This window comes from Homo sapiens, chromosome 7, assembly GCF_000001405.40.
Source record: "Homo sapiens chromosome 7, GRCh38.p14 Primary Assembly".
Classification (NCBI taxonomy): Eukaryota; Metazoa; Chordata; class Mammalia; order Primates; family Hominidae; genus Homo; species Homo sapiens.
In genome coordinates, this window is record NC_000007.14 from 137,530,261 (window position 1) to 137,550,944 (window position 20,684).

The following is a 20,684-nucleotide window of genomic DNA, read 5'->3' on the forward strand; positions in this document are numbered from 1 at the left end:
TTACTTTTGGAATTCAGTTCAAAACACTCTTCTGGTTTGCCAACTAAGTTACCAGAAGCTCCTTCTTTCTCTCTGCTGCAGTTTATCCTCCTCTAAATCTTTCAAATACGTATGCTTCTTTGCTCCTTCCACTAAAACCCCTTTAGACCAAGTTAATATCATCTTGCACCTAGGCTAATTGGGCCCCATGCATCCAAAAATTTCATCACACTGCACACTGTTTAAAACATAAATGTAATCATGATATGACAATGTTGCTCTCCCCATTAAATCATGAGCTCTTCAAGGACAGGATGCCCAACTATAGTTATCTTTAAATCTCCCACTACATATGTTTAATATGAGGTTTTCAATATGTGTTAAATTACTGATCCCCATATGGACTTCCTAAATTTGCGATGAGAAAAACATCTTTTTTCTGACATCTGACTACATTCTTCATCACACCTAATCATGTGTGATTAGGCCAGAATCATTGGCCTGAATGGGACCACTCAAAAGAATTTGGTTCAAAGGAAAAACCTACTCCCATAACTAAAAGCAACAAACAAGAAATAAAATCACTGATTATGCATTACATTATTGCTGTACCACCTTCAGGTATCGAGTTGAGCCTCTGGCTTGCCCCTGCTTAATACAAAAGAGAAGAATTTCTACTCATTACTAGATATTATTGCAAATTTAAGTCTTACGAAGATGCCGTCTTCTGCCCTGATATTGGTGAACTGGCAACTAGAGATGACAACCTTTAAAAAAGTATTTTAAGGTAGGAATTTTAGACTTTAAGTTCCCACATACACTCTTTGTACATTCTTTCATGCTTAAGGAGTATAAAACTTGGACAAATATCCTAATAAAAGGCAAAGGAGAAGTAAGTACCACAGGAAATAGAAACAAATGGAAATTAGACATAGAGGTAACATGCATTCTCATAGAAGAATTCTGCAAATTCCAACTGTTGAGATGAAGAAAAATTAAGAACTGTTGGAATGGGAACAAGTAAAAACTCAAGCCCTGTCTTTCATCACATCAGGCCAAAATCATTTCCACTTTAAGAAGTAAATCCATGTAATGAAGGTTTCCTTGTTATTAAAAATGATTAAAGATTCTATCACAAAACACTAACATGAGTTACTTTTAATACCATAGCCTGCAATCAATGGTACTAAATGGAATTCTCACAGCATGGAGAATTCTTTTACTGTCAGTTGGAGGGAGGACCATTCATCACTATACTTAGTGGAGCAAGGAGCAGTTGGGCTTGAACCAATGAGACATAAGAGGACAATGATACTCTTAAGCCATCAAAATGGATTTAGATCTCATGTGTTCAGGAAGACAGACATTTTCTGCTTCAGCTTTCAGTTTCTATGTATCAGAGGGATCTCTTAAACTTAATTGTTATTTAAAATGCTAAAAATCTTCCCCAGGATTTGCAATCACAAACAGTTGTATTTTCCTGTTCTTATTTGCAACCGATAAATTCACTTTCGTTGCTAAAAAAGGGTGTGGATGAAGTGTTATGATTTGCGTATTTTAAAAATGTCATTTCACAGAAGAAAACACTTGTGGTCTTTCATACCAACCATGAAGAACACTGAAACTAGGCTTCTAACTACTGGTATAGTTGCTAACCCTCTAGTAACTCTAAGCACTTTAACGAATTAATTAGTGATATTTGAGTGTCTATGTGTAACTTTAAAACAGCATTTTAACCAAAATAGACTACACATAATCTTTAAATATTGAACACATTTCATCTACAAACCAATAGAAAAAAAAATCAAAGATTCAGAATGTGTTATAAATAAAAATATCAAAAAAAACAGTAGCCAAAATTCATGAAGCAATGATGAAGTGAAAACAGATATTGCTATCTTAAAATGGGGAAATCACATAACCCAATTATGTATAGAAAGAATGGAATGTATGAGCTACAGGACGCATTACTACTGAAAAGCTACTCTACAGATTGTGTGGTAGTAGATCTGCATTTCTAGGAAACAGGCTCAGTCAAGGGAAGAGCATGTTTTGTTTTTATAATGGAAATAAAAAGTAAGGATTGACCTGACAATAAGCGGCATTACATAAAAGGCATTTTCTTAAATGGTTTTAGCCCTTCACATAAAACATTTTATGAAACAATGTATATACTCTCCTAAAATCTGAGTATCAGAGAAAAAATTATTGCAGAATTGTTTGTTTTTCTTCATTAGTAGGTAATTAATATTTTACCTGGACAGGTTGACAATTGCTTGCCAAGGTCCTCAATCCTCAGTGGGGAGCTACATTTGGCTCTGGAAAGAGATATAGATGGCCCCATATTTCTGTTCATCAATCTACAGTTGGTGGGAACTTCAGCTCCTATTAGTAGCTCAGATGTGTTCCCACCAGCCCAAGGTTTCTTGTCGGAAATCCAAGAAGGAATAATTGAGAGTCCTCTAAACCTGACCCTCCCGCTTTCCCAATTCAGCCCATTTAGCCAACTGGGAGGAAACCTTTCATTTCCCTTCTCTAATTCCTGATCCAATGACTGAGGGATTTTATAAACTGCTCTTATTTCTTGGAAACATTCTTCTTGTCTTTGTAAAAATGACAGAATAAAGACATTTCTAGAACAGAACTTAAAAGAATCACACAATAATTATATCAATATAACAATTATTCATCAACAAAAATAACTTTTACAAAATTTGATAGCAAGGTTGAGAAAAAGAGTTCCCTAGAATATACTTTAATGGGTGGACTAATGGGTCAGTTGGGGCCAGGTGCAGTGGCACCTGTAATTTCAGCATTTTGGGAGGATCACTTGAATTCAGGAGTTTGAGACTACCCTGAAAACATAGTGAGATCATCTCTAAAAACTTTTTTTTAAATAAATAAATAAGCACGGTGGCATGCAACTGTTGTCCTAGCTACTCAGGAGGCTGAGGCGGGAGGATCACTTGAACTCAGGAGTTCAAGATTGCAATCAACTATAATAGTGCCACTACACTTCAGCCTAGCCACAGAGTGAGACCCTGTCTCAGAAAAAAATGAAAGTAAATATATAAAATAAATTACTTGGATGAAGGAGAAACAAACACAAAATAGTTAGATATTTTGATGCTACAAATACTAAAAAGAAAACAATGAAAAAGAAAGAAAATAATGGTTTTATTGATAATATCATAATAGAATGTGAAAATAATTTGGAGTGCCTTTGCTTGTTCCATTTCTTTCTCTCCTTTCACTTACCACATTAAAGTAAATCAAGTCTCTATTAAAGGCAGCAAACCAATGTATTTATAAGACAAGAGCTTTTACTCAAGAAAACATACTTGTTTTACTTTTCCTGGACAACAAAATAACATCAAGCCAAATGACATAATCACGTCCCAATTAGAGGACATAGCCACCTTTCTTAAGAGCAGTAAGGTCTAAGTGATTACTTTTTCAAAATAAATACAACTATAGGTCTTTATAATATATTATAAGACTGAAAGGCTTTGGCCTTTTCCTTCCATTTGTGATTCTTCCAATGGTACTTTCATTTTATTTTATTTATCTTTTTTCTTAATTTTTATAATGGCCCAAGATGAAAAGTATTTCTATTTCAGTCAAATACCTGAGCTATAACTTTGGAACTTGGTGAATCATGTATAGAACTTCATTTTCTGACACAAAATGTGATGTGTTCTAGGGATTAATTAAATGTAGCATCAACGAGTACTTTCTTTTTATGCCTTTTAAAATGTACTCTTTTCATTTCATGGAAGTGTTTCAGGGTGTTATGAGAGACCAGCAAAACTCAGTGGAATTGGTATAATTAAATTGAAGCCCTCCTACAAATGAAACGCACCTCACACTTCATTACCACTTCAGCAAAGTAATCCAAAATAATTGGATTATTTGGATTATTTGTTTGGAACGCTCAAAACGAACATCTAGGTTTCTTTGTTGATATGTCAGAGGATAATGTCAGTTCTTATTCTAGTACTGGAGTAAAAGTTGAAATGTCTCTTTTTCCTTCCTGAATGCAGTAAATCCATTAATAACATTGCAGTTATAATGGTCGGTCCAAAAATATTTAGGTTTTTTGTTTTGCTTTGTTTTCTGGGTGGGGAGTCCATTTTTAAATAAATATTTTACTCACAAAGACTAACAAAAGTATTCCTTTTCCTTCCCGTTTATAGTCTGCATGTATTTCTGCAGATTGTTTTTACTATAATCATGCTTTAGGAATTCAGATTTGAACAAAAATTTAAAGTACATATTGTTCAACCACTTTATTTTACAGAAAGTGAATTTGGGTCCAGAGATGTCAATCACCTTATTGTATCTATATAATTAATATGGAAAATCTGTTATGAATAATAGGGTAATGTTCTTCAGCTCTCTTTATACCCTTTAATAAAAAAATATTTTAAACAACTAAAATATTTATATAAATAATATACACAAAGTTTAGTCTTCAGAGGGTGACACAGAAATATAACTAAAATTCAATCAAATTTATCCAGTATGATGCTGTTATGTACTAAGTTATCTGTCCCCCAAATTGGTAAGTTGAAGTTCTAACCCATAGCTCTTCAGAATGTGACTGTATTTGGAAACAGGGTCTTTACAGAAGTAATTAAGTTTAAATGAAGTTGTTAGAGTGGAGCCTAATCCAACATGACTAGTGTCTTTTATATAAAGAGGGAATTTGGACACAGACAAAGAGGGAAGACCATATGAAGACATGAGAAGACAGCATCTACAAGACAAGGAGACAGGCTTCAGAAGAAACCAACCCTGCTGACACCTTCATTCAGACTTTCAGCCTCCAGAACTGTAACGAAATAAATTTCTGTTGTTTTAGCCACCCACTCTGTGGTACTTTGTTATGGCAGTCCTAGTAAACTCATACAGGTATCTACTAAAAAGATGCACAAAAAGAACTAACTCCTTTTGTTCTAATCCTACAACTAGTGTTTATAAAAAGATATATAATGGAAGAATGAGAGAAATCTAATTTTTAATTTTCAAAAATTTCAATCTGGCTTGGGAATCTCTGCCAATTTGATATCCCCGCCCTGGCTATTCAGACCCTAATTTTCACTTATCTATTAAAAACATAGAAAAATCTAAAAAACAAGTGTTGTATCTGTTGGACTAATTGTATCTCTAAAGTCAGATTTCTATTTGTGAAATTTATTTTTATTTTTTAAAAATTTCATAAATGTTTCCCCCTCCTTTTCCCTGCCAAACATACCTGGCACATGTACTACCCCCAAACCTTCCTGCAAACTTTCTCCTTTACCCCCAAGTCTGACTTCTGCAAGAGCTCCCTTATTCCCTGCACACTCAAGGCAACAAAACCCGCAGTAAATATCCGCTGCACTTTTGAAGTAACCTTTTACTGTATGAAAAGTGCTGAGTGGTAAGACTATTTCTACACCTATGAGGACATAAATAATTCACCTCTAAAAATAAATTTGAAAGCAATAAGATAGAATGTTAAATGTGGAAGGGGCCCTAAGTGTATTGCGCCTTTACATAAGTGGACTGATTGCCGAGCTCTGGGTGGACTGTTACTAATATAAGAACACAGGAACGATTCCTCCACTGTGGATGTCAGCATGACATTTCCTGATAAGCCTGTTTCTCAGTTCAAATGCCACTCCTTACGATTCTAAAAGACTTCAAATTACTTAGTGGTGCTATTTTTACCTGAAATTTGTCATTCTGAAATTTTATTATAACAACACTTGAACTATAAACCTATGACACCAAAGATTCACACATTTGCAACACTCAGAATTGAACTGTTATTCTTCATAATCAAGTTTCTTTTAAAAGTTTATATAATATGATTGGATTAAAATATATAAATAATAGAGATAAATATACATACATATATGCACACACAAGAAAATGACCAGAAGTGATATTGACAGCAGAGATAAATGCCTTAAATGCTACGATGTCAACTTTATCAATGTATAGCATGCAATCATAGGCAAGTTTCCTACCATTTCTTGTTCTCTGTCTTCTCATCTAGGGAATGAGACTAGTAGCAACTGTGACCTTAGAAGTTAGTAGGGTGTTAAATTTGATCACAGAGCAAGGTGCTTAGGTACATATTATGTCTCTGACTAAATGTAAAAATCCACTTTGGTTCTTGCTAACAGGAAGGTGAGACATGAACTATGCTTACCAATGAAGAACAGGGCCCGGCCCCCCTGCCCAGTACTCAGAACCAAGGACAACGCTGTCTTGTCCCATAGCAAGTCTCATCCACCTCATGTTACAGATTTTTGGAGGGCAGATTTTCTTATGATTCTAAGATCATGCTTTGAATTCTACCATAACAGAACTTCAAAGCTGATAGGAATTCGAAGGACCAACTGCAGTTTTTAAATATCTGAAAAACTGAAATGCAAAAGGTTAATACATGGCTGATGTTACACAGACAAATGCAGGGTTCCCCCAGATACTCAAATCAGAAGGATGTTACCATAAGGAAAGAGGGGTTGCAGAATAAGGAGGAAGACGCTCTGGCTACAGACCCGTGGACTGCTTCCACTGCCCCTTTTCTTTGTGTCACTAGACCTCTCAGAGTGGAATGGAAGCCCAGGCAGAGTGAGGGAACTCATGGGAGAAATTCATTTAAAAAATTCAAAACAAATTAAAAAAAAAACAACATTAACCGAGTTGCAGCCTGGGCTCTCATGGAAACTGAGAGATAAAGTGTGGAAACTGGCATGAGCTGAAGTCCAAGTAACCATTATTTCTTTTCTTTGGAATTGTCCATTGCAGATGTCTGTTTTATGGAACTAGCAGGGAAGAGTGGCATAACAAGAGGAAAGAAGGGATGACATGATGGTATGACTGAAAGTCAAGAAACTGTGCACAGTCTGAAGTGAAATTACTAGTAAGAGTACCCAAGAAATTCAGGAGCCAAGGGAGAGAGAGGAAGGAAGAAGAGACGATGGGCAAAGTTTAGCATCTTCCTTTGCTCAGAAGTTTAGAGAGCAAATAGCTTTGCTTTCCAGGTAGCCTGAAGCTAACTCTTACACTTCACTATCCGACCTTAAGATTCAGCAAATAGCATGCCTTTAAATTCTACGAATGTAGCAATTCTCTCCTGTTCTTCCAAAAATATGAAATGTTCTGCTTTTTTTCCCTTTTTAGAAGTACTCCCCATTCATGGAAATCCATCAGAAAATACAGAAATAAAAAAAAATTATCGATAATCCTACAATTCAGAGATAATCACCTAGAAATACAATAATAATAATAACAAAAGCATGACCAACAAACCTAATCACACAAGTTGAAGTACTTAGGCTGTTTTGGTACCCTCGAAATTGGTTTTTGGGTCCAGGAGGTATGATTCAAAAATTATAATCCACGAATCAGAATCTGGACAGATTTCTGCCCCAGACATGAAGCACATTTCTGGAGGCTCCACTGGCCCATGAGTGCGATTCATTCTCAGACTCTCAGGAAGGTTGTGTATTAGCCACCAGCAGCTTAATTCATTGAGGCAAACCATATCTGATGGATCATCTCAGCTGCTTTAGAGGTAAGCCTTATAGTTTACAAAGGCATGCATGTAAATTTCCACTTTGGTATCATTTTTGTTACTTCCTTAAAGAGTTAAGGTGTGGCAGAGTTTATAAAGAGAGGAAAGGAAAGGAAAGAGGGTTCTGAATAACACAAATCAAGTCTTATTTTCTAATTGTAGGACCACAACTAAGTAAACAGAATAAAGAGACCTTTCATAATATAATTATACAAACTCAAGTAAATGTTAGAACAAAAGTTTTGATGTGACTAGTTGTAGAATAGAATTACAGAATTTTAGAAAGCTTTTCAAAAGATCTTCTAGTTTACTTCTCTGGCCAGAGGCATGCAAACATTTAGCCATCTATGGCTAATTTATGTTTTCTTCAATTGTGAAGATCAAAGGTTCTTTGCTCTGTCTTGGTAGTTTTATAAAAATAAAATTCTTAAACTCAACCTAAAACAGAACCATAAAAAATTTTAATATATCGAAAATATTTCCCTTGCTTTTAATAAAATTCCCTTTCTTCCTGGAACAAAAATCAATTTACTTTCATCCTTACCAAGAAGTCTTCATTTATCACAAGGAATTTTGGAATGCTGAGTCATATTCAGTGGTCAAATATGACAATTCATACTTTCTTCATGGATCGGTTTCTAACTTTGCTTTTCCCAAGGTAATAAGCAGACCCACACAATTTAGCAGTGGGATATATCCTGTTTATGTTTAAATTGCAACTGCTGTGCAAGATGGTATATTACACTTAACATATGTTAGTTGTAATTCAAAATACACTGGTGTCTCTGCAGAGTTGTTTTGCTGAATTTAGCTATGACACTCGCTGAGTCACTGCAGTGGGCAAGAAGAAATGCAGTCCGATAGTTCTCTGCTTCAAAAAACAGGGGAGATCTTATCCTGGTGAAGGTGGGTCAGCACACAGCATTATTTCTTCCCCACTGCATGCGGCTATACAATGTGGACAGGTTTCATAAAGCAGCTATTTGAGAACTTTGAAAAGTAAACGATAGCAGTAGATTGGTGAAGAACATCAGATTTTAAGATACTATCAAATTGGTAGTAAACTCCCCAATCCCTCTCTCTCCAATAAGCCCCAGCCTGGACTCCAGGCAGCATAAAGCCCAAAAGGGGACACCAGGAGCAGAGAGAAAGAGCTCTGGCAAAATGCTTGTGCTCCAGCTCTAAGAAAAGAAGGGACTCTGAATGCCGAAAGAAATGGAAAAGGATCTCCCTTTCTTTTTTCCCCCCTCCATTTTCTCCCACTACACTACTCAGGCCTTTTCACTATTTCTGGCAGCCGCAATGACAAAGCCTTCTGGCACCTAAAATTAGGAGGGAAGAGGGGCTTCCTCTCTAATCACAAGAGCTGTGACGCCAAGAGAGTGGCAGAAACTATCATTGCTTCTTTTTCTTTCTGTTATCATTGGTTGGCCCTGGACATGAACACAGTTACAGGCAGTATGCAGCAGAGTGAGGTAACTAAACCCTTAGCTTTCTGGCACAAGGACCAAACAAAGGAAGCCCCAAGAGACCAGAAAGTACCAGGGATGACAGCAGAAAGGAAGGAACTCAGAAAACAACTCCATAAAGATGTTCATGAACTCTTGGGTGTTTATCTCTAGGCTGTAAATACATGAATCTAGCCCTAAACACCAGACCATAGACTTTGGGAACTGAACTACAGGGTAGAACTCCACCCAGATCCCATACTGGCAACTTAGTCATGCATAAGCCAGACAGATAAGAATAGCAATGCAAAGACTTTGGTAATAAAACTAACGTTGTAACCACAACCCTTAGAAGATTAGTCAAAACTTGTGGCCTGAACTTGAGTCAATTGCATACTGAAGCAAATAAATAAAAGATTCCACTTTAGAAAAAAATGGGAAAAAAAGAGCAAAATAAACCCAAATCAAGCAGAAGGAAGGAAATAATAAAGGGCAGGAATCAATAAAATTGCAAATTGAAAAACAACCAAGAAAGTTAGTAAAACAAAAGCCAATTCTTCAAAAAAGCCAATAAAATGGATAGATCTCTACCAAGATTGACAAAGAAGAAAAAGATACAGGTTACTAATATCAGGAATAAAAGAGGACTTGTACTGCAGACCTCACAGACATGAAAGAGAGAAAGAAATACAACAACTCTACATACATTAGTTAACATTTTAGATGAAATGGACCAATTCCTCAAATACTTCGAGCAACTATAAGACAACTAAAACTCATTCACGGTGAAATAGATAACCTGAGTAGTCCTACAACTCCTAAAGAGATTGAATTTATAGCTTAAGAAAGAGGAAAAAATCTTGTGGCTCTGAGAGTTTCATTGGTAAATTCTAACAAACATATAAAGAACAAATAATACCCTAATCTTTTCCAGATATGCTGACAAAACACTTCAACAAAAATTCTACAACTAATAATCAATCTAATGGTGAAAGACAGAATGATTTCTCCCTAATATCAGAAAGAAAGCAAGAAGGGAAACTCTCATCACTCTTATTCAACATTGTACTCTAAATCCTAGCCAGGACAACAATGCAAAAGAAAGAAAAGGCATAAGGATGAGAGAGAAAGGAATAAAAGTATCCTTATTCACAGACATGCTGGACTATGTAGAAAATCCTGAGGATGCTACCAAACTCCTAGAACTAAAAAATGAATTTAGTAAGGCCAATAGGATACAAGGTCAACATATAAAACTCCACACTACTTCAAAAGTTAGCTAGGCATGGTACCATGTGCCTGTAGTCCCCAGCTACTCAGGAGGCTGAGGTGGGAAGATCACTTGAACCCAGGAGGCAGAGGTTTCAGTGAGCTGAAATCGCACCACTGCACTCCAGCCTGGGTGACAGAGTGAGACCCTGTATCAAAAGGAAAAAAAAATCCATAGTATTTCTATATACTAACAATGAGCAATTGGAAACAAACATTTTAAAAACCCCCCCAAAAAAAAAAAAAAAAAAAAAAAAAACATTTACAATGGCTCCAAAAACATGAACTACTTAGGCACAAATCTAACAAAATAGGTATAAAATCTTTATGCAAAAAACTACCAAGAAATGATGGACAAATAAAATAAATGAAGAGACACAGAGAATTTATGAACTGAGAGTCTCAACACAGTAAAGATATCAACATTCCCCAAGTTGATCTATAGACTCAATATAATTCCAGTCATCCAATTTCTAGTAGAATTTTTGGAGACATAGGCAAGCTGATTCTAAAAATGTGTATGGAAAGACAAAGGAACTCAAATAGCCACAACAGTGTTGACAATGAAGAATAAATTTGGAAGAATAATGCAACCAGATTTTAAGAGTTACTATAAAGGTACAATAATAGAAAGAATATGGCACTGGCAAAGGCATAAGCCATAGGTCAATGGCACAGAATAGAGTCTACACTGGATCTGTGTGTCTGTGTGTGCGTATACGTGTGTGCATGTGCGTGTGTGTGTATAATCAGTTCTCCATTTCTGTGGGTTCTACATCTGCAGATTCAACCAACCACAGGTTGAAAATATTCAGAAAAATAGAATGGTTTTGTCTATACCGAACATGTACAGACTATTTATCTCATCACAATTCCCCAAACAATGCATTTAACAACTATTTACATAGCATTTGTACTGTATTGGATGTTATAAGCAATCTAGAGATGATTTAAAATACATGAAAGTATGTACATAGGTTATATGCAAATACCCGTTTTATATGAGGGAGTTGAGCATCTAGAATCTAAGAAAAGGGACTCTGGAAAAAATCCCCTATGGATACTAAGGGATGACTTTTTGTATATCCAATTGATTTTTGGTAGAGTTGTAAAGGCAATTCAATAGGAAAAGATAATTTTTTCATAAATGGTGCCAAATGCATTGGACATCCATATGCAAAAACATTAACCTCAAGCTAAATGGCACATCTCATAGAAAAGAACTCAAAATAGATCACAGAACTAAATGCAAAATAGAAAACCTATAAAACTTTAGGGAGAAAGCAAAGGAGAAAATATTCACCTGGAATTAGACAAAGAGTACTTTAACGTAATACCAAAACCACAACTCTATAAAGAAAAAAAAAAATCATCTGGATTCTGTCAAAAGGTTTCACTCTACAAAAGATATCACCAAGAGAATGAAAAGACAGGATATATACTGGGAGAGAATGTCTGCAAAGCACACAAAGGCCTTGGGTGCAGAATACATGATGAACTCTCAAAGTTCACAGGAAGAAAACAAACAGCCCAATTAAAAAATGATCAAAAGACTTGGACATATGCTTCCCAAATGCTAACAGTACCAAGTGCTGATAGGGGTGTGGAGCAACTGGAATGATCATATATTGCTGGTAGAAATGCAAAATGGTGCGACCATTCTGGAAAACAGTTTGTCAGTTTCTTACGAAGGTGAACATACACTTACCATATGACCCAGCAATCCCATTCCTACATGTTTAACCTAGAGACATAAAGCTTATTACATAAAACCTGTTCATCAATGTTTATAGGAACTCTACTCATTATTGCCCCAAACTGGAAGAATAACCCAGATATCCTTCAATGGGGGAGTGGGTAAACAAGCTAAAACATCCATACAATGAAATACAGCTGGGCAATAAAAAGGAACAAATAAATGATACATGCAGCAACTTGGATAAATCTTAAAGGTGTAGTGTTCAGTCAAAGAAGCCATCTACAATGGACTACACATTGTATACTTCCATTTATATAGCATTCCTGAAAACACAAAACTATAATGATTAGTGGTTGCCAGAGGTTGGGAGATGGGAGGGTTTGACTACAGTGGAATACATCATGAGGCAGCTCTTTTGGGGTGACTGACTGATCTATATCCTGACTATGGTGGTGGTTATATGAATCTCTATATGTCTTAAACTTTATGGAACTGTACACCAGAAAAGTCCGTTTTACAGTATGTTAACTTTAAATATTAAAAATAAAAGCAAATATAATAAACATTCAATACAAAGTCGTTCATATGGAAGAACAACCAGAACCTCTACTTGGATGCTTGTCACATGGCTTCGTAATTCTGTCATAGGCAACACAACTGAAACCTTAATGTTCTTGTCTCTGCTTCTCCAATATCCCACAGAGCATTGAGTAACTGAAGTAAACACTCAATAATGTTTGTTTAAAGATGAAAGCAATGAATAAATTAGGTGTAAATGGAACACATTATTTCATTTTGATGGGGGAAGAGCAGGAGGGAAACAGAACCTAATGAGAGGTAGCTACTAAAGGCTAAGAGAGTTCTAGAAAGACACATTTTGCAGTTTTATACTTTTTTGGCATTAGCTGAATAGGAGTTGGCAATTACAGCATTTACCATGACTAGTCATGATTTATGAAATGTAGTGTGTACATGTGTCTTCCAATGAGGACTTTACTTCATTATGAAGCCAATCAATTATAAAGAATTTATTAATTCATTAACTTGCACTATACAAGATTTATGGAGAAATATTCTATTTGCTTTGTTTTGTCCTATTGGATGAGACCAGTAAATACCATTGATTAAAATTCATCAATTCATATGTTGTCATATATGGTCAAAACATAAAATTTCATGATTTTTCTTTGAATAAACTGGAAATTTTGCACATACACAGACATTAGTAGTATGTTGCAATTCCTAATAATTCATACATTGCATTGTTACCACCATGTACTCCATTCCTGGAGAAAAAGTCTTCTGAAAGCTAGAGAGAAAAAAAAAGATCACTTCAAGCTTCTTGAAGGAAGCAACAATTGCTTCAAGAGCAGCATAAAGAGAGGGTTCACCCAAAGAAAAGACCATCTGTAAAAAAGAGTTGTTCTGAGCAGAGAGTGGCTGATTAGATAGCAACCCCCTTCCCCTCCCCGCCAAAAATATATAAAATCTCACTTAACGATACTGGGGCTCCTAACTTCTACAGGACCAAAGCAATGTTACCATGGTTTTTTCAACATTGCTGAAATTAGCAAACACTAGTGTGTGAGTAAATCAAGGCTATCCGCACTGCCATAACATAAAAAGACAAAATGCACATGTTGTGCTTAAACTTTTCTCCACATTCCTTGCTGTATTCCATATAGTTTTATTAACTGATTTTTAAAATAATATCCTGATTTAATGTTTATTATGTAAATGTTTTATCTATAGGTAGAAAATCTATGACATGTAATATTCAATATATATCATATGTAGATATAAAATATTTTCAAATTAACATTCAAGTTTTAAGGTAACCACAACTTAGAGCCTGCTGCACCCTACAGAAACAAGTATGGACAATTTACTTTACTGTATGTAGCACGCACACTCATGGAATAAGAGATAAACAGTCCAATTTAAGATACACAACTAAAGTGTAAATACAACCAACTTAACCCATAATAGAAACAAGATGACTATCATATGCATTTCTGCTGTTAACATTCTCAATTCTTTGATCACAATCAACGGAGCCACTAAAAATAATGATCACATGCAGCCACTCCTTAAACTCAAATTTATTGAACTGGCCTATATAGAATATAGAATTTTACTCCAGCCACAACATTCAGTTTGGCAATTGAATGTCATTTTCCTATTGATTCTTTGACTGCTCAAGTGTAAGCTTCAGGAAGGTAGTGCTCTGTCATGCTTACCACTAGACACAGAGCATAAAATACTGTCTGGCACAGAGCAAGTGCAAAATAAAGGTTTTTGAATAAATACATATTTTAAATAATAAGTAAATTAGTATCCATAAGATGAGAGTTGAAAGTAGATTATATAACTGAACTTTAGGAATTGCTTTGTCATACATATCACCAGATGTTAGATATTGTGCAATTCTATTTAGACATGTATTCTTTTATGCACTCATTCCACCAAGAAAACCAATCAATCATTGTTTGGCTTCAGAATACTTCATATTAAAATCTGTGAACATGGCTGGGAACACAAGATTCATATTAAGATATTGCCAATCATCTCAAATAGCCTAAGTCTACTGTGTAAAATACACAGACACAGAGTTAATGTAATTAACACCAAATTAAACCTTGAGAACTGCAACAGATACATGAATGATAAACTCCAGTGAGGGTGTAATTAACTCTGACAGCAAGAATCAAAGAAGAATTCTTTGGAAAGGTAATCATTCAAGTGGGCCTTGAGAAATATACAGGATCCTGACAGACGAAAGGCAGCAGACTATGAATTGTTAAAAACATGAACTTTGAAGCCAGACTGCCTGAGTCTGAATCCCACTCTATGATTTATTAACTGTGTGACCTTGGGCAAGTTACTTAACCTCTCTGTCTATCAGATTCCTCATGCATAGAAGGGAGATAATTATACCACATATGGCCAAAGGTTGTTGGGAGAGCAAATTAATTAATATGTAAAGTATCTGTAACAGTCCCTGAAACATAATAAATGCTAGGTAAGCATATGTGATATGGAGAAAACAAAGGACAAAGCAGAGTACACAGCACAAAATAATTCTGAGCTGAAATGCTAAAAAACATATTTTTTTGTTCTCACTAGAAAAAAATAATACCCTGGACTACATTAAGCAAAAACTCCTAAATATACATAAAAATGCATTTTGCTAACTCAGTGACAGTTTGGGGTCATTGAACTTTTACTGTAACTATGGATCTTCCAAAACAGAAACACACACACACACTCAAAACTCCACGCATAATCTTAAGGTTTCATCCAGAAATTGAGGGCTGCAGGCACTTCCTCGAGCTTATCTCTGAGCCGTAAGTAATGACATAGTCTAACGGTATTATGCACTTCCCATAAAAACCAATGCTTAGCATGGAATTCTATACAACCCCAGGCAACCATGGACCCTAAAGTATCTCATCCAAAAATTGAACTGTTAACTTAGAGGATGGAAGCACATAGAACATGAAAAACTTCACAGCTCCATTTCAAATCAAAGAGGGCAACAGAAAGCAATTCTGGTGAGGTGGCTTCCTTATCTGACGAACAGACCTGTGAAGGCAAGGGACACAGGTAGTCCAACCCTGAGGAGACGAGGCTGGGGAGAAAATGTAGAAACAGAATGGCACTGTACTCACATGGTGAAGGAGCCGGGGGGAGCAGACACTCGCCGCAGGTCCGCAGTTTGCACCTGATGAATACTAGAGGCAGCAGGGAATGAGCAGCGAAGACAGAGTCAGCGACAGCGTGGACAGACAAGGAACAAGCCAGGGGAGAGAAAGAGAGACACACAAAATTTAAACAGAAATTAAATGAGCGCATCACCGAACAGCGAAGGAAAGGAAAAGGAAAACCAAGCCAGCCACGGAAATAATCCAAAAAAAGCCGGTGATAGCAACGAAGCCAACAGGACACACGGAAGGCGCTGGTTCTAGGCAAGTCACAGACCGGAGCGGGGCCAGGCTGGGATCGATGCTGGACGGCAGGTCGGGGGGTGTAGGGGGATGACCATGGCCTCCCTTGCTCAGGCCCATCAGGACACCCAAGGAGAGAAGGCACACACTTACATATTGAGTGGTAGGCTGGCATGGTAAACTCATCTTTGAAAAGATTCAAGGTCAATTTAACCCTTTCATCACACAGCCATCAGGTTTCCCCAGGCTTTATAGGAACACTCACCAAAAGACAATCATCTTAAAAAGAGTGTCTCAACCAAAACTTCAACTTCCTTCAGTTAAACAACAAAGGCTTTTTAAAAACTCCAAAGGTAATACCAAGAAAGTCTAATTGTATCACTGTATTGCTATCATTCCACCCACATTCTGGGTAGAAAAATGAAACCACAGATTTCTCCCTTTTCTCCCTTCTTTTATATTGGAGTCTACAGCAGCTGCTAGAAAAGACAAAATGTAGAATTTAAGAAACTAAACCCAAAATGTTTTGTTGACTTTACATAATTATTCTCTCCACTCTCTTATTTAAAGAGTTTCATTATAACTACATTAGACCTAGTTCCACGGATCTCTCTGTTCTGCAGCATACATAACTTCTCATGCAAAGTCACCCATGAGGTAACTCCAGCCCAAGACTCTCTCTGTCTGTGTTATCCTCCAAGTACTATCGTTTCCAAACAATAATAGTTCTCAGCAGCCTAGGATGATGGAATTCGATTGCTCAATTCAAAGTTTGCTGACTAGAAACCTGGTCATTGGATGAAACGATCATCTTTAATAATGTAGCCTTAATTACTAGTGAACTAAGGATAATATTATCTATTTATTAATAGTTCACTGAAGATCTCCCAAAACACCTGGGTAATTTTGTTTCTATTCTCCTTCAATGGCACATTTCAAATAAAGAACATAATCCAGCATATTGGCTATCAGGTAACTAGCATATGAATATGAACCTAGATAAATCTGCTTATTACTTTTTGTGGGGAAGGTATTTACTGTAGTTCATACTCTGTGTAGATTCCTATGCTATGATAAATGACATATGCTCCCATATATATAAGGAGCTTCTGAACACAGTGGGACCTAGCTTTTTAGTTTGTGTATAATAATAGCAAATGGGATTATAAGCCAAGAAATATTTTTTAGAAAACATTAATTTTTCCTTTTGCATAAATGAAGATCTAGTGGCATCATGAAGCCCTATTAGTTAACTATTTCTCATGGAAATTCCTTCTGTCCATGTGGACCATAGCTTGAAATTATTAAATATGTATCTTTCACTTATAAGACAATGTGACCAAAACACATTTGATATTAGTTTTATATTCACAAAATTTTAGATTTATGTTATCTTAGAAAGCAATTTCTGAGAAACACAGCAGAGACAGCATTATAGAATGGATTCATGTGTGAGTCGCTGATGCAAGATGTGACTGTCTCAGGAGCTATGACAGACACTGAGGATCCTAAGAGGAAAATCCTAGGGCCTCCCCACAGAGCAGAGAAGGGAGGAGTGAATCAATGATTACACTATTTTTAGTAAGTGGTGTAATGGAAATAACCAAGAGCACCACTGAAACACGTAAAGGTACATCTAACAGCTAGAAGTAGACAGAAAAGGCTTATTAGGAATAGTAGCATTTCAATGGGGTCCTAAGCTGTGAGCGAGGAGTTAGCAGAAGATAAAGAGGTGCAGAGGGCACTGCAAGAAGAGGACCAGAGAGCAAAACCAGGATGATGTAGGAGACAGGCTACTGTTCCAGGAACAGCAATCTTCCCTGGAACAAAGAGCAAAGAGAATGAAGAAGGGAGTGATCAAAAAGGTCTGCAAAGCTAAGGAACACAGGCTTGGGATTCTTATATCAATCTAACGGGTATATCAGAAGAGACAGATTATGTGAAGGCAGCAAGGGCAGGAACAGAAAATAGTCAGAAGCATATTTTAGTAATGCTGCTGAGAGGTAGCTCACGTGACTTTTGAACTCTGGCTGCTTTACTGGTAGAGAAGATAGAGGAGATGAGAGTCAAAGACTTGGGAAATAAACAGAAGATAGAGTTCAAAGAATGTAGTAGCTACCCTGATGGATGCTGATATGGTTTGGATGTGTGTCCCATCCAAATCTCATGTTGAAATGGAATCCCCGATGTTGTATGTGGGGCCTGGTCAGAGGTGTTTGGGTCATGGGGGCAGATCCCTCATAAATACCTGGTGCCCTCCTTGAGGTAGTGAGTGAGTTCTCACTCTGAGTTCATGTGAGAATTAGTTGTTTAAATGAGTATGGTGCCTCCCCCGTCTCTCTTGCTCTCTCTCCCACCATATGATATGCCAGCTCCCCATTCACCTTCTGCCCTGACTGTAAACTTCCTGAAGCCTCACCAGAAGCGAAGCAGATGCTGGTCCTATGCTTGTACAGGCTACAGAACTGTGAGCCAAATAAAACTCTTTTCTTTATAAATTATCCAGCCTTAGCTGGGCACAGTGACTCACGCCTGTAATCCCAGCACTTTGGGAGGCTGAGGCGGGCAGATCACTTGAGCCCAGGACTTCGAGACCAGCCTGAGCAACATGGGGAAACCCTGTCTCTACCAAAAATACATCTGGGCATGGTAGCGCACACCTGTTGTCCCAGCTACTCGTGAAGCTGAGGCAGGAGAATCACTTGAACCCGGGAGGCGGAGGTTGCAGTGAGCCAAGAGGGCACCATGGCACTCCAGCCTGGACAAGAAAGTGAGCCTCTGTCTCAATAAATAAACAAATAAATATAAATAAATAAATTATCCAGCCTCAGGTATTTCTTTACAGCAATGCAAAAATGGACTAACACAGGTGTATAGAAGTAGAAGCGACTGAGGGAACCCCAGAGGCCAGGAACAGGACAAATGAATGGATGGTAGTTTCATGTGTACAGCTGTGAAGGGAATAGGCTCACTGGATGGTGGGGTAGAAAAGTCAAGGAAATAAAGTTAATGAGTCCAGTTTCTAGCATGTAGTTTGAGGTTACTATGAGACATTAAGGTAAAAATGTCAACTAAGATATTTGGGTATGAGTCTTCAATTTTTAGAAGAAAATTCTGGGCTGAAGACACAGATCAGAGATACAGTCTCCCAGAGAAAGGGCAGAACCACAAGGAGCACTGGCATCTAAGTGGAAAGGGAACTGTTGTTACGGGAGCCACAGCACTTACGTCTCGAATATCCAATTAACATGCTGTGTGAAAGAAGCCTAATTTTTAAAGATGAATTAAACAACCACCTTCTTCTTACTGGGAACACACACACACACACAGAGGTTTTTAAGCTAAAAATGCTAAAGATATTTTCGACTAGTTCTCCTCAAGTAAAGGAAAAAAGAAGACAGGCAAAGACAGGAAGGCAGGAAATAAAGAAAATGTCTTTCAAGTTTCTCTTTCTTCATTGTTTCAAATGGTGCACTTCACACAATTGATGGTCAAAGCAGACAAAGGCTTGAAGGACTCAGAAGGTGGAAGAACACTTATAGAACAGTCTTGAAGGAAAGGCTGACCTTGAACTTGAAACTCCACTTGGAAATCTAGTGGAAGACCTTAGATTTCAAAACAAGGTTTTCTGGTAAAATTGAAAGAAATATTTAATCATAGGTTAGAAGGTAAATAAGATCAGAATGAGAGCAATTAAGGTTTAGTAAGCAAACATTACATGATGACTAGGTTTTTTTGCTTTCTTTTGAAAATGTGCTATCCGTATTGATTTTCTCAAAATGTAGTGTTGAATGATAATTTTTCACAAGTACTAATAAAGATTTTTGTTATCTTTAAGTCTTATAAATATTCATTAATAAAATGAAAATTATACTATTATTCCCATTTCTCATAAGTCTTTCAGAGGGCATGGGGTGGCTTGGATGCAGGCATCACTGCCTCTGGTAGAAAGTAAGTAACAGTTTTGGGGTGTGTTGTTGTTGTTGTTTGAGTTTTTTTTTTTTTTTTCAGACAGAGTCTCGCTCTGTTGCCCAGGCTGGAGTGCAGTGGTGTGATCTCGGCTCCATGAAACTTCTGCCTTGTGGTCCTAGAGATTCTTATGAGTAGCTGGGATTACAGCCTCCTGAGTAGCTGGGATTACAGGCGCATGCCACCACACCTGTCTAATTTTTGTATTTATAGCAGAGAAGGGGTTTTGCCGTGTTGACCAGGCTGGTCTTGAACTCCTGGTCTCAAGTGATCTGGCCATCTTGGCCTCCCAAAGTGCTGGGATTACAGGTGTGAGCCACCGTACCCAGCCAGTAACAGTATTTTTAAGTTGAGGCTGCTTCTTGAACACCTGCAAAGCTAAGTGCTACAAAAAATGCCATCATATATCATGTGTGCCTTGAGTACAAAAAGAAAAAAATTCTTTTTATGTGCTTCTATAGATGCAGAAAGTCAAATGAACTCTTAACAATATGGTTGCTGAGCAAATACGAATTCTCAACACAAAGGTAAAAGCTGTTTAAAACTAAATACCTGAAAACCATTTCATGTCTGATAAGGTTATTAAATACAGAAGCAGCAGGTCTAAGACTGTGAGTTCTCTGCCTATATATAGTAAAAACTTTTAGATTCTGCATATCTTCTTAACTATCTACAAGTGACCCAACAACATAGGCTATAGCACAGTTTCAGAGATGGTTTTTCACTTAGTAGTTCATAGATTTCCAGCAAACCCTTGGTCCATTTAACTCTAACATTTCTAGGGGGAATTGGATGAACCA

The 20,684-nt window shown here is 36.9% G+C and overlaps 1 protein-coding gene across 8 annotated transcripts in view; it reads right to left on the reverse strand.

The window, feature by feature from the left end:
- The window catches only part of DGKI (diacylglycerol kinase iota), a 465,938-nt gene that overhangs the window by 149,224 nt on the left and 296,030 nt on the right, over positions 1 to 20,684 (reverse strand). For 2 of the 8 annotated variants that reach the window (NM_001388092.1, XM_047421020.1), the window contains exon 21: positions 15,640 to 15,702. The exons of the other annotated variants lie outside the window; for them this stretch is intronic. In NM_001388092.1, the coding sequence (NP_001375021.1) occupies positions 15,640 to 15,702 (63 nt within the window). The remainder of the gene's footprint in view (positions 1 to 15,639; positions 15,703 to 20,684) is intronic. 8 annotated transcript variants of the gene reach the window in all.